Here is a 22,295-nt window from a genome sequence, read left to right on the forward strand (position 1 = left end):
GTTAGAGGCTGCAGTGAGCTATGACTCCTCCATTGTACTCCAGCCTGGGCGAAAGACTGAGGTCCTGTCTCTTAAGAAAATCCGTTTTCTCTTGAAAGTACAACATATCTCAGATGTACAAATAATTATGGAATAATATGGCAAACGTGCATGTATCTTTTGCCAGCTTAAAAAAAATACAGAATAAGAAAATTTCTTTACATTGATATTCAGATACTCTCAGGGCGCACTGTTTAAACCACTCTTTAATTGGTTTTTGGATGCCTGAGTTATAGAAGAGATTTGTCACATGCTTTTCAATTCTGGAAAAATAGAGAGTTTGGGTTAAGAAATCTTCGATGATGCATAAGGGAATAAGGAAGGAATGGCTATCCTGGCAAACAACACTAGTTAAAAATTATTCTACTACATGAGGCCTGTGGGAGCATAGGAGAGCTCTATCTAAGCTAGTCGTAGGCTGTATAATTTTTAGGGTTTGGTTCACGTTTCAGTTCTTAATTTATGCTCCCCCTACAATGGTTTCAAATTTTTCTGGCATTTTACATGTCAACCTTTAGTCATTAGGATTATGAATTAATAAGATGGAACATTGACATCGTGGTTGCTTAGAATACGGACTTACTCTCTAGCCATTTATAAAATATAAAGAGGAAATTTACCATCTGTTCCATGGGCTGCATTGGTTGGCTCGTTATTTGAGCTGTATCGTTCACCAGCAACCCACAGCCTGCTGTGATCTCAGCTCCAGATGGGGACAGGGATGTTAGTGACTTCTTTCAGCTGTATGGTTTGCCTTACTGTAAGTGATTCACAGATTTTTGTATCAGAGGTCGAAGTATAAGCCATTTGACGCCAGATACAGCCTTTTACTAGATTGTGGGTGTTACATTCAGCTCTTGTGGCATTTTGGGTGTGTTTCCAGGTGTAAAGGGATAATTTCCACACCTGATGGTTTCTGGGGCTGCCTGGACTCCAGCAACCTGGGAGTACCTGGTGTTTGTGTGCTGAGCCTGAGCCTGCCTCTGTGGTCCCCTTGCAGGAGTGCTTTCCTTTTGGGACCCTGTTACATGATACCACACACAACATGGCTTCACAACACCAGTCACACTTGCTTAGTTCCACCCCCAACCAAGGAAGAGGCCGTGTAAAATGACAACGAACTAAGGCCCATGCCCCTGGAGCAGTGGTTTTTAAATTATAAAAAATTTAGGCCGGGCGCAGTGGCTCACGCCTGTAATCCCAGCACTTTGGGAGGCCGAGGTGGGCGGATCACAAGGTCAGGAGATTGAGACCATCCTGGCTAACACGGTGAAACCCCGTCTCTACTAAAAATACAAAAAATTAGCCAGGTGTGGCGGGCACCTGTAGTCCCTGCTACTCGGGAGGCTGAGGTGGGAGCTTCACTGGAACCCAGGAGGTCGAGGCTGCAGTGAGCCGTGATTGCACCACCGCACTCCAGCCTGGGTAACAGAGCAACCCTGTCAATCATACATATATACTACATACATACAGCAAATCTCAAGCTAAAATAGGAAGCAAGGGGCTGGCCTGCAGCCAGTGGCTGGAGAAGAGAAAGGATTTGGTGACACATTTCTCAGAAATGCCGTCACTGAGAAGAGACCTCTCAGGGCCCCTACCTAGCATTGTGTTCACTGCCACAGGCGGAGGGATCACCGTTTCTATACAAATCAGCAATCTGCTCAGGATTCACATCAGCAGAGTTAGTTCCTTCAGTGACTTGAGAAGGTTCCATCCCAGTAGGACCTCTCATAAGGAAATCAACAAATGTAAGGAGACTGCAAAAAGTTTGTGGAAGAACAGAATTAAAAGATAAAAAGTATAAACTTTATTTCTCAACATAAGCTCCATCCTGGTCAAGACTTTTTTTTATTTTTTATTTTATTTATTTATTTATTGAGACAGAGTCTCGCTCTGTCACCCAGGCTGGAGTGCATTGGTGTGATCTTGGCCCACTGCAACCTCCATCCCCCAGGTTCAAGTGATTCTCCCAACTCAGCCTCCTGAGAAGTTGGGATTGCAGGTGCATGCCACCATGCCCAGCTAATTTTTGTATCTGTAGTAGAGACAGGGTTTTACCATTTTGGTCAGGCTGGTCTCAAACTCCTGACCTCAGGTGATCGCCCGCCTCAGTCTCCCAAAGTGCTGGGATTACAGGCACTTGCCACCATGCCCGGCTAATTTTTGTATTTTTAGTAGAGACGGGGTTGCACCATGTTGGCCAGGCCAGTCTCAAACTCCTGACCTCAGGTGATCCGCCTGCCTCGGCCTCCCAAAGTGCTGGGATTACAGCAGTGAGCCACTGTGCCCAGCTAACACTTTTTTGTTTGTTTGTTTGTTTTGAGATGGAGTCTCGCTCTGTTGCCCAGGCTGGAGTGCAGTGGCGTGATCTCGGCTCCTCTGCCTCCTGGGTTCAAGCGATTCTGCTGCCTCAGCCTCCTGAGTAGCTAGGATTAGAGGCATGCACCACCACGCCTGGCTAATTTTTGTATTTGTAATAGAGACACGGTTTCACTTTGTTGGTCAGGCTGGCCTTGATCTCCTGACCTCGATGATCTGCCTTCCTTGGACTCCCAAAGTGCTGGGATTACAGGCATGAGCCACCACACCTGGCGTTTTTGAGACGGAGTTTCGCTCTTGTTGCTCAGGCTAGAGTGCAATAGCGAGATCTCAGCTCACTGCAACCCCCACCTCCCAGGTTCAAGCCATTCTCCTGCCTCAGCCTCCCAAGTAGCTGGGATTAGAGGCGCCTGCCACCACGCCCAGCTAATTTTTATATTTTCAGTAGAGACAGGGTTTCACCATGTTGGCCAGGCTGGAATAGAACTCCCGACCTCAGGTGATCCACCCGCCTCGGCCTCCCAAAGTGTGCTGGGATTAGAGGTGTGAGCCACTCCACCCAGCCAACAGTTTTTTAAGCAGGATCTTACTTTGTTGCCCACGCTGGAGTGCGGCAGCTCAATCATGGCTCACGAGAGCTTCAACCTCTTGGGCTCAAGTGATCCTCCCATCTTAGCCTTCCAAGTAGCTGGGACCACAGGCGTGCGCCACCAGCTAATTTTTATATTTATTTATTTTTTTTAAGACAGAGTCAGGCCAGGCAGGGTGGCTCACGCCTGTAATCCCAGCATTTTGGGAGGCCGAGGCGGGAGGATCTCCTGAGGTCAAGAGTTCGAGACCAGCCTGACCAACATGGTGAAACCCTGTCTCTACTAAAAATACAAAAATTGGCCACACACGGTGGCGCACACTTGTAGTCCCAGCTGCTTGGGAGGCTGAGGCAGAAGAATCGCTTGAACCCGGGAGCCAGAGGTTACAGTGAGCCAAGATCGTGTGACTGCACTCCAGCCTGGGTGACAGAGCAAGACTGTCTCAAAAAAAAAACAAAAACAACCAAAAAAACAACACAGAGTCTTGCTCTGTCATCCAAGCTTGGAGAGCAGTGATGCAATCATAGCTGACTCCAGCCTCGAACTCCTGGGCTCAAAGCCATCCTCCTGCCTCAGTCTCCCAAGTAGCTAGGACTACAGGTGTGCACCACCACGCCTGGATGATTTTTTTATTTTTCTAGAGACAGAGTCTCACCGTGTTGCCTAGGCTGGTCTTGAAATCCTGCCCTCAAGTGATCCGCCTGCCTCACAGTCCCAAAGTGTTGGGATTACAGGCGTGAGCTACTGCGCCCGGCCCTGGGGCATTTCTCTCTGTGGCTGCTTCTGTGTCTCTGTGGGTGTTTCCTGAGCACACACGGGCGTCTTTATAGGTGAAACTTTGATTGTTAAATGGGATTATCATGTCTGACTGTGGGACATGAGCTGCCTCTCACCCTCTGGGCGACCTTCCCCGCCAGGAGTAGAGTCTCCCAAGGTATCTACCCAGCCCCTGTTTGAGGGCAGGTTGCGTGGCTCTCATGTACACAGGTGTGCAAGTGTCTGTGGGGTCAGGTCCTAAAATCAGTTGCCAGGTCAGCAAGTTCTGTGATGTTCTTATGCACTCTGACTGGGCTGTACGCCTGCGGGAAAGGAGTAGGCAGGGCTCCTGCGGTGGAATTGCTGTTGTGTGGTCAGCTGCAGTGGTGACTTGTGTTCACCCTGGAAACCACAGCAGCACTCAACCTCAGGAAAGTGCTCAGATTGTGCGGGCATGTAGTGACACTACAGATGTTGCTATTTATTACGACTTGAGGAGTATAGATTTCTTATATTTTAAAAAGCGTGCAGTTGTTGGGCTGTTAGTTTCTCGCCGGTGAGAGAAGTTGGGCAAGCATGTGGCTGCTCTCCCCTGAGCGGTAGCTGCGTGTCCTGGCTGTAAGGACGCTGTAGCTGGCCAGGCGATTTTGCACGGTGCAGCCTGGGCCGCTGCTCCTGCTGCCTTTCAGTGCTTGTTCCCCTTCACCTTTTTGGGGGACCTGTTACTCCGACTCTTACTTGTCTGTCGGCCTTGCAGGGATGCTCCCATTTCCCAGTAGCCTCCAGGCCTGCAGGTTCCCATGACCCACAGCCGGGCCACCGAGGACGGGTTTTGGGTCCAGCACGAGCTCCTGGTAAGGCCTGGGGAAAAGGTGTTCTGGCTTCACCCTGGGGCGGCAGGGACTCGAGCTCAGCATTCCCTGGTGCGTTACAGGAAGACCAGAGGAAGCAGTAAGGAGCTGACCGTGGATCCCTTCTCTCCCCAGGCTGGGTCCGATACGCCGAGCGGGTGCTGGGTCGCCCCATCACTGCCCACCTCTGCACCGCCAAGTCCCCCCAGCAGGTCATGGGCTCTTTGGTGAAGGATTATTTCGCCAGACAGCAGGTAAGCTGACCTCTCTGGAGGGCAGGAAGGGCAGGTGAGGGAGGACCATGGCACAGGGGCCCAGGAAGGGGAGGTTCCCCATCTGTCCAGCGTGGTCACGGCCCCCCAGGTGAGCAAAAAGGAAGCTGTGGCTTCAGGAAACATCAGCAGTGCTGTTTCTCACCAACGCCCGTCTCTATTCCTCCCTTCCTCTTACAACCTTTTTCTTTCTTCTTAACCTTTTCTGTGGCATCTGGTGGTTTTCCTGGGCCCATTCGGGGTAGAGTAGAAATGCTGCCCACCCTGCTGAGAATGAGGCCCCGGACCTTGCCCAGAGATGCTGCCTGCCTGCTGTTGGGATGCCTCACCCAAGGAGGCCTAAAGTGGCCTGTGCCTGGAGGCTGAGGGCAGCTGTCATTTAGGGAGCCAAACCTGGCCTCTGCCCTGGCCTTTCCCTCAGACCACGGGCATCACATGACTTCCTTAGCCACTTCTGTGAGATTCCACAGTGGCCATGATGCTGTCCTCCTCTTGATGGAGTGAGTCCCGGCCTGAGGCTCCTGCGTGCCCCCTGCCTCGGCCCGTCGTGTTCTCCCTTCCCACAACCCTCTGCGGCCCCCAGGTCCTCCCAGAACTCCCTGATGTCTCCAAGGCCACCCTCAAAGGGACCCTAATCCCATGGTTTATTCTCCAGCCGCTGGCATGCCCCACACTGCTCTTCTCAATCAGACTTTACACCTCCCTCCGGGGAAGCAGCCATGTCCAGGCACTGTGGTAACTGGAGTAGAGGGTAACATCAGGATCTTTCAGACATTTGAAGTCAGCCTAAAAAGGCACGCACATTTGGCAGCCTTGTTATTTTAGCAATAGGCAGTGTTTTCCTTCTATCTAGTTTCTTTCTACCCATAAAGTCATAATTTGGCAAATTATAAACATGATGTCAGAGTATACACGTTCAGTTTAGGCAGGACCGAAAAATGAGCTATGGGACTTTCTGTCCCTTGCCCTGCCCCCACCTGAAGAGAGCCATGTGTTTCTAGGTCTTCCACGTGCTGCCCTCTCCCCTGGATGGAGCCCAGAGCTATGTGTCCTCCTGTAGGTGCCATGAGGGGCAGCCGCAGAGACCCGGCCTCCAGCAGCCTCTCACCTGACCACCTGGCACAGCTGCAACCAGGGGCGGGTTTCCTCTTTTGCTCCGCCCCTGCCCTGAGTGGGTCCTTTCCACCCAGACCTCACCACAGGGTCACTTGGCAACTGCTGGCTCCTGGCTTTGCCACCAGTTCAGGCCCAGCCACAGGCACCTGCTCTGTGTGGACCCAGGAGAGGGGTAGCTTGGGTGGGCATCGCTTGGGAAGATTCAGGAAAGTCTGTGGGTGAAGTAGCCAGCGCGCGCACACACACACACACACACACACTCACTCAGGCCTCCTGCAATGGCTCCATGCTGGACCAGCAACAGCTCCACGCCGGCTGGACTTCCTCTTACTTGTTTTGTCCCCATGTGCACAGGTTCAGGAGGAAATGGGCTCAGCCTTCCCGGTTCTTCCAGGAGGCTCCACTGGCTGGGGGGCTTTGCAGATGTTTGGGAGGACCACACCCAGTCCTGAGGGAGGCAGCAGACAGACATGGATGGAGTGCTGGTGCTCGGTAGAGTTGAAGAGGGGATGGGAGCCAGATGTGGCTACAGCACTTTCATCTGTGGGGCCCGGCCTCAGACCCACAACAGTCCCAGCCCCAAGAAAGTGCTGCATGCAGCCAGGCTCGATGGCTCACGCCTGTAATTCTAGTACTTTGGAGGCCGAGGCGGGCAGATTGCCTGAGCTCAGGAGTTTGAGACCAGCCTGGGCAACACGGTGAAACCCCATCTCTACTAAAGTACAAAAAATTAGCCAGGCGTGGCGGCATGCGCCTGTAGTCCCAGCTACTCGGGAGGCTGAGGCAGGAGAATCGCTTGAACCCGGGAGGCAGAGTTTGCAGTGAGCTGAGATCACGCCACTGCACTCCAACCTGGTGACAGAGCAAGACTCCATTTCAAAAAAAAAAAAAAAAAAAGAGTGCAGCATGCAGTGTCTGGAGGGCAGCAGCAGGGGGCATTCGGTCTCCCATCCCTCTTGTTCTGGGCACCAAGCGTAAGCTGCCGTCACCTCTTCACCAGCCCTAAATATGGGTGCCCCTCTCCCACAGAACCTGTCTCCAGAGAAGATTTTCCACGTCATTGTGGCCCCTTGTTATGACAAGAAGCTGGAGGCTCTTCAGGAAAGCCTTCCCCCTGCTTTGCATGGCTCCCGGGGCGCTGACTGCGTGTTAACATCAGGTGAGAGGTGGGCGGGGGTGCACCTGGGCGCTGGGGTAATCTCCTACTGGCCAGTACACACCAGAGCCAGGCAGATCTGTGTCCCAGAGCCATCTCAGTGCCTGCCAATGTGGTCGCTTGTCTGAAGTTACTGACAGCTGAGGGTCCTAGGGGCTTAACTGCAGGTGAAGAGAAGGGTCATGTTCGATCTAGCCTCCTGTCTCCTCTGTGCATCTTCCTCAAGATAAATCAGGTCTCAGCTGGGCACAGTGGCTCACGCCTGTAATCTAAGCACTGGGAGGCCAAGGCAGGTGGATCACCTGAGGTCAGGAGTTCGAGACCAGCCTGACCAACATGGAGAAACCCCGTCTCTACTAAAACTACAAAAAACTAGCCGGGCATGGTGGCACATGCCTGTAATCCCAGCTGCTCGGGAGGCTGAGGCAGGAGAATCGCTTGAACCCGGGAGGCAGAGGTTGCAGTAAGCCGAGATCGCGCCATTACCCTCCAGCCTGGGCAACAAGAGTAAAACTTTGTCTCAAAAAAAAAAAAAAAAGATAAATCAGGTCCTGGGAGAACCACTTGGGCAGTGTGGTGGCCCTAACTTTACATTACAGTCCATGTAAGGTACTTATCTCTTGGTGGGAAAGTTGTCTATAGCCATAGCGGGTCTCCTAATCACAAACCAAGTCTGCACTTAAAACACAAGTGAAGTTTTTTTCATTCAGAATAAAATGAAAAAGGCACGTTTGCTCCAGTGATATTGCCTTTACCACGGTATTGGCCACTCCTTTCAGATGTTAAGAGCCTACAGTGAGTTCTGTGTGTGTTGTGGATGGAAGTGATTCCCTGGAATTATGTAGAACCCATTCAGAAGAATGTTGACATCAGTTGGTGGGGGAAGCTTAAGACTTTGTTAAAATTCTGGCGGAACTGTTTTAATTGGTCTCTGAAAACAGGTCCCTGCAGGTATTTAGATCAGTGGTAGATGAGGCAGAGAGGTCAGCTCTCAGGGACAATCTTTAAGGGCGCCAATGTCCCTCACAGGCCCCTGACTTGAAATTCTAGCACGCAGACGCCTCTGGAAAGGTCCCCACCCCATAGGCACAGGCTCCCTGTGGGGTGATGTGGCAGGGGTGTTGAAGGATGAGGGATAGAAGGGTCCTCAGCACGGCCATCCTTCACTCTCAGAGGAAGGGCCCAGGGGCCATCTGCTTACGTTGACAAAATAAAACATGCGCGGTGGGCTGTCAGAAGAACCATGTCCAGCCATCTTTTTTCTGAGTGCAGATTTATAGGAAATTACGCTATTTTCTTACCTGTGTTTCCAGCCATCTCACAGCATCTAATGTGATGCCACAGCCATAGTTTTAGAGGCTCAGTTTTTCTATTAAGGGTTTTTTCAGGCATCCTCATGTAAAAGGAAATACAGAAAGTGGTTCTCACTTTCAGTTGATCTCATTGCAGAATAAACAATTGTCATATAAATGTAGCTGGGTACAATGGCTCAGACCTCTAATTCCAGCCACTCAGGAGGCTATGGCTGGAGGATCACTTGAGCCCAGGAGTTTGAGACCTTGCTGGGCAACACAGTGAGACCTCGTCTCTTTTTTTTTATTTTTTGAGACGGAGTCTCACTCTGTCACCCAGGCTCTGCAGTGGCTCCATCTTGGCTCACTACAACCTCCGCGCCTCCTAGGATCAAGCGATTCTCCTCCCTCAGCCTCCCGAGTAGCTGGGATTACAGGTGCGCCCCACCACACCAGGCTAATTTTTGTGTTTTTAGTAGAGAGGGGGTTTCGCCATGTTGGCTAGACTGGCGACCTTGTTTCTTAAAAAAAAAAGGGCTGGGTGCAGTGGCTGACACGTGTAATCCCAGCACTTCAGGAGGCTGAGGCAGGCTGGTCACCTGAGGTCAGGAGTTCGAGACCAGTCTGGCCAACATGGTGAAACCCCCGTCTCTACTAAAAATACAAAAATTAGCCAGGCGTGGTAGTGCACACCTGTAATCACAGCTACTCAGGAGGCTGCGGCAAGAGAATCACTTGAACCCGGGAGGCAGAGGTTACAGCGAGACAAGATTGCACCACTGGACTCCAGCCTGGGCGGCGGAGGTGAGACTCCATCTCAAAAAAAAAAAAATGCAACCAGTGTATATTTCATCATCCTATCTCTGTGAGCTTGTTATACACAAAAGTTTTCTGTTTGTTTCATGCAAAGTAGGCCAAAAAAGTTTACAGATTTTCCACATGGGAAAATCATGGAGAGATTGTTTACATAAATCCCACAGTTCAAGGGCAGAAAGAGGAATGGAAAGAGGAGTTAGAATTGAATTCTGCTTACGTTTTATTAGTGTTTCATTTTATTGGCCTCACTTTGCCCTTTAGATGGACTCCTGCTGTGTGTGATGGAGATTTCATAAGAGGGAGGTCACCCAGGGTCACTAATGTCAAATCTCCTGCAGGGGAAGAAAAGTTCCTGTGGCCACCTGTGTCTTTTCAGTGTCTTACTTCGTTTGTCTGCAGGTGAAATTGCTCAAATAATGGAGCAAGGTGACCTCTCAGTGAGAGATGCTGCCGTCGACACTCTGTAAGTGGCTTCTCTGGGGAGAGTCCTCTGGGGGGCAGGACCTCTCGTCAGCCCTGCCAGCCACCTGCCAGGCCCAGGGCTGCCCTGCTTTATGACGAGGCCATGTGAAGCACTGCGATGCAGTCCCCCAGGCCCCTGCCACAACCCTCAGCCACCCTATAGCTGTTGAATGGGATACCATTCACCAGGGCTGCCAGGGAGTTGAAGGTTTGGCGGGCTTCCATGGTGTGATTGCCACCCTAAACCCTTGAGGAAGGACAAAATGCACAAACAGCTTTGTCCTCGCTGGCGCAGGGCTGTTCATGTGTGCACCAGCCCCCTTCTTCCTGAGTGCCGTCTGTGCCTCACATTCCGTGTGGTCTATGGGGCAGTGGGGCAGCTCCCTCAGGCCCCTTTGCACCAAGAGTGGCAGTCTGGGTTCTGCTGGGGGCGGTGACCTCGATACCCAGCAAGGCCCAGGGCTCCTGCTGCACCCCAGGCACTGGGCAGAGAGCACCACAAAGGCAGCAGCGTGTGTCCTCGCCAACAGTCCGCATCCCAGGTGCTGCATTCGTGCCCTTTTGGGGGAAGGTAAGATAGAAGTTTACAGAATTTAAGCATCTGTGGGGCCAGGCGTGGTGGCTCACACCTATAATCACAGTACTTTGGGAGGCTGAGGTAGGAGGATCACTTGAGTCCAGGAGGCTGGGGCTGTAGTGAGCTATGATTGTGCCACTGCACTCCAGCCTGAGAGACAGAACAAGACCCTGTCTCCAAAAGAAAAAGACCATAAGCATCTGGAGCACCTGCAAGAGCCTGTGCATGGGCTCGGCGTGACTGAGAGTCCTCCGCCTTGCCCGAGCATCAGGCAGGCCCTCCCAAGACCCCTCAAGATGCTAGAATGGGACTTTCTGCAAAGTTTAAACATCTGTACAGGATTTAGCTTCTTTGGTGGCGAACTTGGATTGTGATGCCCTCAGGAAGTCTGGTTTCACTCTTTCTGTCACTGTACGTCAGCATTCATGAAGGACTTGTATTTTCTCTGCCTTGTGAGGTTTGGAGACTTGAAGGAGGACAAAGTGACGCGTCATGATGGAGCCAGCTCAGACGGGCACCTGGCACACATCTTCAGACATGCGGCCAAGGAGCTGTTCAACGAGGATGTGGAGGAGGTCACTTACCGAGCCCTGAGGTGTGGGGCAGTATCCACAGCCTGTCTGTGCCTGTGGTTAGCACGTGTGCATGGTGTGCCTGTATGGATCTGTGCATGTGGCGGTTCTATGGATGGAGTTTACACTAGTCAAAATCAAAAGGACTTTTTTGTGTTTATTCAGACCTTTTATTTTGCTGACATTCCAAACTTACATTAGAAAGTGTTCTTGGCCGGGTGCGGTGGCTCGTGCCTGTAATCCCAGCACTCTGGGAGGCCGAGGCGGGCGGATCATGAGGTCAGGAGATCGAGACCATCCTGGCTAACACAGTGAAACCCTATCTCTACTAAAAATACAAAAAATTTGCCGAGTGTGGTGGTGAGCGCCTATAGTCCCAGCTACTCGGGAAGCTGAGGCAGGAGAATGGCGTGAACCCGGGAGGCAGAGGTTGCAGTGAGCCAAGATGGTGCCACTGCACTCCAGCCTGGGCAACAGAGCAAGACTCCGTCTCAAAAAAAAAAAGGAAGTGTTCTTAAGTCACAGATAAAGGACTTGATGGATCAAAATTCTCTGTGTTCATTTTGTAGAAACAAAGACTTCCAAGAGGTCACCCTTGAGAAGAACGGAGAGGTGGTGTTACGCTTTGCTGCAGCCTATGGCTTTCGAAACATCCAGAACATGATCCTGAAGCTTAAGAAGGGCAAGTTCCCATTCCACTTTGTGGAGGTCCTCGCCTGTGCTGGAGGTGAGGCGCCAAGAGCAGCACCTGGCTCTGTCTCCCACGGGTGCTCAGGCCACACTGGTCCTGCAGCTGCCAGAGAGATGGTGCTCTTGGCCACCCAGAGCCTCTCTCAGCCCTGAGAGCTTTGTAGGGTATGGATGCTCCCGTGGGGCTTGTGCTGGGACATTCTAGGCTCCATTGGTTTTGCTCTTTTCCTCACCCCATGTAGCATGTGGGCATTCTCTTGGGGACGTGCCCTCAGGAGGCCCAACATGGCACCAGGTGAGAGTCAGCCCGTGGCGGCTGGCTTAGAGAACAAATCACAAGAGTTGAGGCTGCCCTGCCTAGGAGAAACACCCCTGCCCCGTGCCAGGCACCAAGCATGAGCCTTCTCTGTCCTGAGTGATGGGAGAGAGCAGTGAGAGGTGGAAGCGGGAAGGGGTGTGACCCAGCCTGGGCCTGAGGGGCTCCCTTGTTGCGTGGAGGGAGGGTGGGCCACTGTGGGCTGTGATCATCCAGGCAAGTGAGGAAGGATCCCCACCTGGGGCAGGGGGAGTGAGAGGATGAGAGGAGGCCAGGACACGGTGGGGGTCTCCGGGAAGGACTTGCTGAGGGTGTGTCAGGGAAGAAGGGGACCCTCTGCCCCTGACCCATGGTGGTCCATCTGCGCCCCTGGTGGGGAACTGAGGACCTTTGTGCCATTGTGAGTCGGGGGGGGCACCACGAGGGACTCGAGTGGAAATGCCGGGTGCAGGTCAGTTGGAGGAGCGGCTCCACTGATGTTAGACAAGTGGGACAAGGTGTGAAGCCACAGGATGGGAGGGGCCCTTGGGCAGGGCACAGACAAGGGTGTGTCCTTCAACACAAAGGATCTCGTAGAGGAGGGGAGGCCTCAGCCAGCACTGACAAGAGGAGGGTGAGGGCAGAGAGGGGAGCCTGTGGCCTTGGAGGCCTCACTGAGCATTCCAGGGGCACGGAAGGGTCAGTCCCACAGCTGGGCTGAGGAGCAGCCGGGAGGTGGGCCGTGAAGCAGGGCCTCTGGGAGGGCCTCTGTGTGCAAGCGGGTGGAGCTGGGGCCTGAGGAAGGAGAAGGTGCAAGCCCAGCCCCCTGGGAAAGTGGAGGTTGGAGACCAGCTGGGGTGCCACCCTGGAACCCATGGGGAGTGAGGTTTAACCAGGGAAATTTGCTCCAGATTGTTTTAAATGAACTCTTACACTACTAAGAGTGACATCATCTAACACGTTGGAGAGTAAGTAGCATTAATAGATAGGAGACACATTTTTACTCAGGCCAGTGTTGGGTGTGTGGGCTCATGGCTGGGCTCACAGCTTAGCTGCCTCTGGTGCAGCCTCCAGGCAGGGCCCAGCACACTAACACGTGTGGTGCAGGCAGGAGTGGTTTAACTGCTTGTTCACAATTCCTGTGCTATCCTGGTTTTGCCAAATTCCAAGAGAAGTTGGAAATCGGGATTTGCATATGAAGCCACCCAGTTCTAAAAGGTTGGCAACTTAGGTTTTAGGTAAAACCATTTTATGGGTGATGTAAATGGGTAAGAATGAGAGGCACACGGGTCCAGGCACGGTGGCTCACGCCTGTAATCCCAGCACTTTGGGAGGCCGAGGTGGTCGGATTACCTGAGGTCAGGAGTTTGAGACCAGCCTGGCCAACATGGTAAAACCCTGTCTCTACTAAAAATACAAAAATTAGCCGGGCGTGGTGGCACACACCTGTAACCCCAGGTACTTGGGAGACTGAGGTGGGAGAATCGCTTGAGCCCAGGAGATGGAGGTTGCAGTGAGCCGAGATTAGGCCACTGCACTCCAGCCTGACCAATGGAGAGAGACTCTGTCTCGAAAAAAAAAAAAAAGAAGAATGAGAGGCACACGGGGCTGTGAGTCTGGGATCAGTGTCCCTGACAGCCTTGAGGAAGACCCTGGCCTGTTCAGCCAGCCCTAGCCTTAGGCCACACAACATTCCACGTCCCCTTTATTCCTCTCCTGCTTCCAACTCTTCCCTGTGAGGCAAAACTTCCTTAAGACTATCCCGGCTGGGTGCGGTGGCTCACGCCAGTGGTCCCAGCTCGAAGTAGGATTGCCGCTTGAAGCCAGGAGTTCAAGACCAGCCTGAGCAACATAGCAACACCCGCCCCTCCCGCCCAATCTCTACAAAAAATTTAAAAATCAGCCGGGCAAGGTGGTGTGTGTCTGTAGTTCTAGCTGCTCAGGAAGCTAAGGCAGAAAGATCGCCTGAGCCCAGGATAAACTTACCTGTGTTTATCTTTCAGGATGCTTAAATGGCAGAGGCCAAGCCCAGACTCCAGACGGACATGCGGATAAGGCCCTGCTGCGGCAGATGGAAGGCATTTACGCTGACATCCCTGTGCGGCGTCCGGAGTCCAGTGCACACGTGCAGGAGCTGTACCAGGAGTGGCTGGAGGGGATCAACTCCCCCAAGGCCCGAGAGGTGCTGCATACCACGTACCAGAGCCAGGAGCGTGGCACACACAGCCTGGACATCAAGTGGTGAAGTCAGGCCAGGGCCTTCCAGCTGCTCTTGGGGCCAGAGCCAAGAGCCTCTCAGTAGAGGGAGGGGCTGCCCTGAGTGGAGTATTAAAGACACTTAAGAAAACCGCTCAATGGATTACTTTGGTTTCTCCGAGTTCCCTGCTACCCCGTTTATTGGAGGCCCCTCAGGCAGTTTCATGTGGTGCTATCTTCATAATAGGTGTGGGATTGGAACTTTTTTTTTCTTTTTTTTTTTTTGAGACGGAGTCTCACTCTGTCACCCAGGCTGGAGTGCAATGGCGCAATCTCAGCTCACTGCAACCTCTGCCTCCCGGGTTCAAGCGATTCTCTTGCCCCAGCCTCCCGAGTAGCTGGGACTAACGCGCACACCACCATGCCCAGCTAATTTTTGTATTTTTAGTAGAGATGGGGTTTCACTATGTTGGCCAGGCTGGTATTGAATTCCTGACCTCCTGATCCACCCGCCTTGGCCTCCCAAAGTGCCAGGACTGCAGGCATGAGCCACCGTGCCTGGCAGATTGGAACGTTTTAACATGAGAGGAGCACTTCCCCAATTTATCCCTTCATCCTAAGATTGTGAAAAAGTCCCAAAGAGTGGGAATGGAGACAGACTACTGTATTTTAGGTTTAAAAAGAAAAATCCAGAAAGTGTCCTGTGAAGAGCTAGGACCCCCAGAGGTTCTAATGCACATGACTTGAAGGTGATTTGATGTGGGAGTGAGGGCAGAGGGTGGGGTGGCTGTGCCTGTGGACTCCTGTGGCCCTGGGGTTGTTAGGGCAGGCAGTCCACAGTCCCAGATCCCTGCCCATTTTGGCTCTTTCTTTTACCCACTCATATTTTCCTTGAAAATGTTTTTGCCAGAACATTAATAACTGTCAGCCTTTTAGAATCAGGAGACTTACGTACAAATCTGGATTTTCAGCTTTTCTTAGAAAAACTGTAGTTTCTGACAACAGTAGGCCCCATTCCTCACAGCCAGTCACCACCCTCCTCCCATTCCTCACAGCCAGTCACCACCCTCCTGGACCATACTCGGCCCTGGGCCATTCCTCACAGCCAGTCACCACCCTCCTCCCATTCCTCACAGCCAGTCACCACCCTCCTGGACCACACTCGGCCCTGGGCCATTCCTCACAGCCAGTCACCACCCTCCTGGACCATACTCAGGGCCCTGGAGGCCTGGCAACCCAGGCCCCAACTCAAACTTGTACATTCAGTCTTTCAGTCGGACTCGCACTGGGGCAAGGGTGACAGACACGAGAATGGAAAATTGAGAAGGCTGCCCGCACCAGCTGGGTGGGTGCAGGGGGCCCCAGCTCATCATCAGCACTGTCGTGGGGTGGGAGTCGGGGGTAAAGGTTCCGTCTGACCCTGAGGGGTTGAGGATATTCAGGTGGTCCAGCCTCCCGCAGAAGACTTCCCTGTCACCCTTGGCAGACAGGTTTCTTCTCACACGGCCCTGGCCCATCCACTCGCCATGAAGCCCTCTGTGCTCAGGGTGATGGAGCCCCCTCCATTCTGGCACTGCACTGTGGGCATGAGCTTGCCTTAAAAAGAAAGGAGAGGCCAGGCACGGTGGCTCGTGCCCTATAATCCCAGCACACTGGGAGGCCAAGGTGGGAGGATTGCTGGAGTCCAGGAGTTTCTACATGGGAGACTCTGTCTCTACAAATTTTTTTTTTTTTTTTGAGACAGAGTCTCACTTTGTCACCCAGGCTGGAGTTCAGTGGCGTGATCTCGGCTCACAGCAACCTCCGCCTCCTGGGTTCAAGCGATTCTCCTGCCTCAGCCTCTGGAGTAGCTGGGATTACAGGCGCGCGCCACCGCGCCTGGCTAATTGTATTCTTAGTTGAGACGGGTTTCGCCATGTTGATCGGGCCGGTCAGGCTGGAATTTCTGACCTCAGGTGATCCAACCACCTCAGCCTCCCAAAATGCTGGGATTACAGGCGTGAGCCACTGCACCTGGCAAAAAATTTTTTTTTAAAAAGGAGAAAGCAGTTTAACCACAAACAGTGAAACAGAGCTGGCAGACGCCTGAAACTCCATGGAACCATGCAGCTGTACCCTAGGGCTCCTCCCAGGAAAAGAGAGATGTCAACGTGGCCCAAGGTGTCCTGAAGCACTGGGATTGGATTAACTCGAGCGATGGCCTTCCCAGCCCTCCGTGCTGCAGAGCCTCTGCTCGCTAGGCTGCCTTCATCTCACTCTGTGTGCTGTGCCTGTGCACCTGTCTTGTCAATAACTGCATATATTGTGTTGCGTTGCCTGTCTTGCTGGATAACTGCATATATTGTGTTCAGTTGTGTATTTGTTTTGCTTTCAGTCTATATACAGTTGGGTTTCCAACCTCTGATTCTGGAATAAACAGTTGCAGCGTGTCTGAGTGAATGGTTGAGTGAGCCGAGCCACCTGCTGCCCCAGCAGGGCCACATCTTGTGGTGTGTTGCCGTCCTCACTGCGGCCACGCCAGGTGGCCTCGCCCTGTGCTTTCTGAGCCACCACCTGGTGTGGAGTCAGGAGAGTCCTCTGTCTCCCTCCAGGAAGCTGCTCACCAGGCCTAGAACACCAGAAGTCGGTAGAGGGCCACCCTTGTCCAGCTACAGTGAAGAGATCACCTCCTGCAGTAACCACTGCGCAGGGCACCACAGCTGGCCTGCCGTGAAGCCGCCCCTGCAGGTCGCGTGGGGAGGCCAGGCTGAGGCACTGGGCACCAACATGAGACACCAGAGGTCCCCCGTGCCTGCTGGTGGGTTATAGCCATGGGGACTGTGTGCATTTTCTTCTGCACAGGAGAAAAGTGGCGAGATTTCCTTCATTGTAACCGGAACGGTATTAGCCGTCAGGCCAAGGCGCCTAGATGTGGAGGCAGCACACTGGTCGGGAGGGATGGTGTGCCTGGCCCGTGCCTGCTGGTGAGCCAGGCTGGTCCTGGCATGAGGCAGCACGCTGGTTGGGGGGATGGTGTGCCCGGCCCGTGCCCGCTGGTGATCCAGGCTGACCTGGGGGGATGGTGTGCCCGGCCCATGCCCACTAGTGAGCCAGGCTGGTCCTGGTGTGAGGAGGAGGAGGAGGAGGAGGACGAGATGAGCCCTGGGTGGCATCCCGTGCTGGCACCACCATGTAGGAACATGGCCATGTGTGCTCTGGTGCTGCCATGTACTGCAGGGGACCGGAACACGTCTGAGCTGATAAACGTGTTGCCATCCCAGTGAACAGATCTGCTGTTCGGTGCCTGTGGTCTGATGGGCAGCGCCTAGGTTTCTCAATTCCATTTCCACCTGGCCTGAGAGCTTGTACTCGTCGCAGCCAGTGTAGACTGTCCGCACTGGTCCTTAGTGTTGCTGCAGTTGCAAATGGGCTCATCCACTGTGCCTGCCTGTTGGTTTGCCGCTTGCCTGGGATGTAGATCTAGGGTGAACCCTTGGGTGTGTGCCGGCTTTGAGGGTGTCCCATGGCCTCATCTGCGGGCCCAGAGCTGAGCAACTGAGGCGTCTGGACACATGGCCTGCCACAGTCGTGTGACCTTCACGCCGAGTCTAGGCCAGAGATGTCAGAGGAGGGAATTGCGGCCCAGGCAGGGGCTGACTTGCCCAAGGCCACTTGGCCTCCAGATGGGGCCCGGTGTTTAAGTTTCCACTTCGAACAGAGCATCTGTCTAAAGCAGATCAACCCTCATCTCATGGTTAGGAGCCCTCAGTCCGCCGCTGCAGGGGGCGAGCTGTCGGTTTTGGGTAGAGGCCGGCTCTGCATTCTGAGGATGAGCCTTGTGGGTTTTGGATAGAGGCCGGCTCTGCGTTCTGAGGATGAGCCTTGTGTTCTGAAATCAAGGAGAGCAGGTGCCAGGGCTGAACACTTCAAAGTTGTAATGCGAATTGTCCAATAGGCAAAGATTTTTATTAAGTATTCAGCTGAGTAAGAAGAGGGGGTGCTCACGACTGCTGGCTGGAGTGCAGTTTGGCAGTAACGCCCCAACTTGATGAAAGTCGTATAGTTTAGCTGTTAGGAACTTTCCCTGGAGCAGTCCACCTCACAGGTGCCCAGTGCGCAGGACCTGGAGAATATCTGTTCTATGTCTGCATTGGTGTAAACAAGCTACAACACCGAACTAAAAGCCCATCGGGGCAAGTGTCAGGACATCCTGGGGGTTCTAGGAGTGGTTAAAGTATAAAATAGATGTTTATGTCCTGACATGGACTTTTTTTTTTTTTTTTTTGAGACAGGGTCTGGCCCTATCACCCAGGTTGGAGTACAATGGCACCATCATGGCTTACTGCAGACTCAACCTCTCAGACTCAATCAATCCTCCCACTTCAGCCTCCTGAATAGCTGGGACTGCAGGCATGCGCCACTACTCCCAGCTAATTTTTTGTACTTTCTGTGCAGACAGGGTTTTGCCATGTTGCCCAGGCTGGTCTCGAGCTCCTGGGCTCAAGTGATCCTCTCCCCTCAGCCTCCCAAAGTGCTGGGATTACAGGCGTGAGCCACCACACCAGCCTGATTTGAAATTTGGTTAGAATAAGAAAGAAAACCTGGCAAGCCAGAGTGACAGACATGGCATCTGCATGGTGAGTGTGGATGAGTGGCAGTGGATTTGGGAGGGGGGACTGGAGCGGGAGCAGTGGCTGCCAACCATGGGCCTGACCCGGCGAGCCCGTCACCAGATTCCAGATACTCTCACCCCGACTGCTTGGACGTATTGCAAATATAGTGACTCATAGGATTACTGTCCTTTGATTTATGTTAATCATAGCCTTGAACGCTTTCTTAAAGTGTAAAAGTTACAGTTAAAAAAACCTCCAACCTTACTTTTCATAACTCTGCCAGCTCTTTGTGGCGGGTTAGCCTTCTGCTCTGGGTGGCACAGTGGCGTCAGCGTCTGTTTTGCTAACTCTGGGCATCTCATCCTAACTGTGCCCAGCCACACGGAGGGCCTCAGAGAGGGGCAGAGAAGTGCATTTTGGGTGGCTGCATTTGCCATCCAATATCCTAGTTGGAATCGGGAGACCTTGCATCAAGCCAGGACACAGGACCGCTGTTGGATGCCATGGTCTGAGCAGCAATGTGGCCCTCATCTGAGGTGTGTGCTGGGTCTGCCTCTGCACCAGCTAGGTGTCCTGGTAAGTTAAGTAACACTTCGCCTGCTCTCTGTTGCCCCTAAGCCTTTGTCTCGCATCAATCTTGGCAGAATCCTCCTGTTCCTCTGTCTTCGGCTTTAGCCACCATCAGGGCGTGTGTCCTGCTATTTCCCCACTCGTTTTTGCCCTGTAAAGGAAAGACCATGTAGCAGCTGGCACTCCTTCCCCACTCCAGGCCCGGTGTCCTGGGCTGTGGCACCTGAAGATTCTGTCCCTGAGCCAGTCTGGACACAGCCAGGCGGCAGCACTGGCATTTTGGGATGTCAGTGCATCATCATGGGCACTGTGTGTCCACGTGGGATGCCAGGACCTGGTGCTGGGATGTACAGGGAGTGAGTACTGCGGCTGCATTTCTCTCCTGTTGGAGGGAGGTTCTCACCTCCAGCTTCTGATGATGTCAGTGGAGCGAGAATGCCAACCCAGAGGGCCGTGACACTCCAGCCCTTTTTTTTTTTTTTTTTTTTTTGAGACAGGTTCTCGTTCTGTCACCCAGGCTGGAGTGCAGTGGTGCAATCTCAGCTCACTGCAGCTTCGACCTACCAGGCCCAAGAGATCTCTCACACTCCGAGTAGCTGGGACTACAGGCGCCAGCCACCACACCCAGCTAATATTTTTGTATATTTTTGTAGAGACGGGGTTTCACCATGTTGCCCAGGCTGGTCTCCAACTCCCGACCTCAAGCGATCCACCTGCCTCAGCCTCCCAAAGTGCTGGGGTTACAGGTGTGAGCCACTGCACCTGGCCTTGATCTTCTAGCGAAAACTAGAGAGAGAGAGAGAGAGAGAGAGAGAGAGAGAGAAACGTTAAGAGGGAAAGAAAAGGCAGGAACCCCTAAGCCCACTCCCTCAGGAGAGGAAGGGAAGAGAGGATGGGGATCCAGCCAGACCCTTTTGTCAGGAAAACACTTGCTGGGTTCCTTACCTGGAGGGGTCTCTAGTGAGTCGGTTGATGGCAGGAGGCTCCCTGGCAGCCAGACAGGGAGAAGAATGCCAGCCTCTGCAGGCACCTTCGGCCACGTGGAGGAGCAGACCTAAGTGTGGCCAGGGAGGTTTCAAAGCCTCGAAAATGCTGCAGACAAAGGATGCATGTCCTGTGCCAGACCCTGTTCTCTAAGCCAGGAGCAGGTACTGATGGGGGGTCCCGGGCCAGGTGGACACACAGAGAAGAGGACTGAGGAGTGCAAAACCCCTCCCTTGCTCCCAGGGAGGCATTTTGCCCAAGCCAGGGAATGCAGAGGGCAATGAGCCCACAACTGCCACAATTTCTGGGACAAAGCTATGAGGCAAGGTATGCTCACATCAAGATTTGAACTCAGATTGCTGCTGTTGCCTGTCCTCCGTGCCTTGACACAAACAGGGACGTTATTGGGGCCTGGAGAAGAATTATGGGCCACAGGCTGCCCAGTCAGGAAAGAAAAGGGAGTCTATAGCAGAGGATGGTTTCGATCCATCGACCTCTGGGTTATGGGCCCAGCACGCTTCCGCTGCGCCACTCTGCTGGCTATAAGGGGGGAGCCTGAGTCAGATCATGACCACAGGAGTCATCTCCCTGCAGGCGGCGACCCCTACTGGCCAAGAGGGGCCAACAGAGGACTGGCTGGGCAAGGCACATGCTCAATTATAAGCCTACTCCTCCTCTCTCAACTTCTTGTAGATAAAACTCTCTGAATTCATGTCCTTTTCTGCTGTTAAAACATTGGCTGGAGGCCGGGCACAGTGGCTCACGCCTGTAATCACAGCACTTCGGGAGGCCAAGGCAGGCAGATCACATGAGGTCGGGAGTTCGAGACCAGCCTGACCAACATGGAGAAACCCTGTCTCTACTAAAAATACAAAATTAGCCGGGCGTGGTGGCGCATGCCTGTAATCCCAGCTACTCGGGAGGCTGAGGCAGAATTGCTTGAACCCAGGAAGTGGAGGTTGCGGTGAGCCGAGATCGCACCACTGCACTCCAGCCTGGGCAACAAGAGTGAAACTCTGTCTCAAAAAAAAAAAAAAAAAGTTGGCTGGGCATGGTGGCTTACGCTGTAATCCCAGCACTCTGGGAGGCTGAGGCTCAGGAGTTTGAGACCAGCCTGGGCAACACAGGGAGACCCCCCCCCCCCGGCCTCTACAAAAAATAAAAATAAAAAAAAAAATAGCCAGGGGTTGGCAGCCAACGCCTGTAGTCCCAGCTACTCAGGAGGCTGAGGTGGGAGGATCGCTTGAGCCCAGGAAGCAGAGAGCAAAGATCATGCCACTGCGCTCCAGCCTGGGTGACAGAGCCAGACCCCAGTCTCAAAAAACAAAACAAAAAAAAGACTGAAACTCCTGGGATCCAACTGAAAGTATGAGCCGGGACACTCAAAGGAGATAGCTGCAGCTAGTCTAATGAACTGTCTGTGAGGAGCATCTCGACACAAGCCACGGTCAGCACCGAGGCCTGAGCCCTCAGGGCAGGGTGCATCCTTCCCAGGAGCCTGGACCCTGTGAGAGCTGGAGCTAATGGGATGGGCCACCAAACAGGAGGCATGGCTCCCCTGAGAGGAGCCATCGACCCTAGGCCAGGCAGAGAAAGAGCTGGGGAATACCCAAGCCTCTCTCTCCTCCACCCTCCAATCTCCTTGCCCGTGCCTCCCATTGGCTGCAGCCGCTTAGCTGTCTTGCCCTCTGCCTTCCAGGCGGCCTCAGGTAAGAAAGGCGGAGGTGGGCCTAGAGGACACATCCCAAAGCACTACAGGAAGTAGGTGTGGCCCTACATGTATGGACACGTTGCCAAGAGCACGGGAGGGAGGGGAGGCTGAGGCAGAGCCTGCAGCCAGGGAGCTCCGTGATGTTGCTGGCACCTGGCAGGGCACAGGGTGCAGCCCTGGGCCCAGAACCTCCAGACTGGGGGCTGCCGATGGGGTGAGGCTCCCTGTGCTGCACCCACAGGCCTGTACTGCAAACCTTCACCTCCGCAGTCTAATGGGTGTTGTGTGAGTCTTACAGACCCAAGCACACAGGTACAGGCACAGAGGTGAAAAGGTGTCGACTGGGAGAAGACAGAGGGAACCTTCTGAGCAGCTCAGAACTGTCCCAGGGCTTGGCCAAGCTGCTAGGCTCAAAACCAGATTGGAGGGTTGGTGTCAA

The 22,295-nt window shown here is 53.3% G+C and overlaps 1 protein-coding gene and 1 non-coding gene across 10 annotated transcripts in view, besides 4 other annotated features; one reads left to right on the forward strand and one right to left on the reverse strand.

Moving 5' to 3' along the window:
• The window catches only part of NARF (nuclear prelamin A recognition factor), a 32,340-nt gene extending 15,912 nt beyond the window's left edge, over positions 1 to 16,428 (forward strand). For 6 of the 9 annotated variants that reach the window (XM_005256340.5, NM_001038618.3, XM_011523541.3 and 3 more), the window contains 6 exons: positions 4,691 to 4,809; positions 6,973 to 7,102; positions 9,607 to 9,670; positions 10,704 to 10,841; positions 11,388 to 11,545; positions 13,807 to 16,428. In XM_005256340.5, coding sequence (XP_005256397.1) covers positions 4,691 to 4,809; positions 6,973 to 7,102; positions 9,607 to 9,670; positions 10,704 to 10,841; positions 11,388 to 11,545; positions 13,807 to 14,048 — 851 coding nt within the window. In that variant the 3' untranslated portion in view covers positions 14,049 to 16,428. 9 annotated transcript variants of the gene reach the window in all.
• Positions 16,543 to 16,742: an enhancer, noted in NCBI's record as "active region_13011". NCBI's record gives its function as "activates an Ori minimal core promoter by ATAC-STARR-seq in GM12878 lymphoblastoid cells {active_cell/tissue: GM12878}" and the evidence as "EXISTENCE:reporter gene assay evidence [ECO:0000049][PMID:35858748]".
• Positions 20,454 to 20,791: a silencer, noted in NCBI's record as "fragment chr17:80452439-80452776 (GRCh37/hg19 assembly coordinates)". NCBI's record gives its function as "represses an EF-1alpha promoter that drives an FKBP-Casp9 reporter gene in an ReSE screen in HepG2 liver carcinoma cells {active_cell/tissue: HepG2}" and the evidence as "EXISTENCE:reporter gene assay evidence [ECO:0000049][PMID:32094911]".
• Positions 20,454 to 20,826: a biological region, named in NCBI's record as "ReSE screen-validated silencer GRCh37_chr17:80452439-80452776".
• Positions 20,567 to 20,826: a silencer, noted in NCBI's record as "silent region_9215". NCBI's record gives its function as "represses an Ori minimal core promoter by ATAC-STARR-seq in GM12878 lymphoblastoid cells {active_cell/tissue: GM12878}" and the evidence as "EXISTENCE:reporter gene assay evidence [ECO:0000049][PMID:35858748]".
• TRX-CAT1-8 (tRNA-iMet (anticodon CAT) 1-8) lies at positions 20,612 to 20,683 on the reverse strand. The gene has a single exon. It is a non-coding gene; the product is annotated as a tRNA-Met (tRNA).

The sequence above is a fragment of the Homo sapiens genome, chromosome 17, assembly GCF_000001405.40.
Source record: "Homo sapiens chromosome 17, GRCh38.p14 Primary Assembly".
Lineage (NCBI taxonomy): Eukaryota > Metazoa > Chordata > Mammalia > Primates > Hominidae > Homo > Homo sapiens.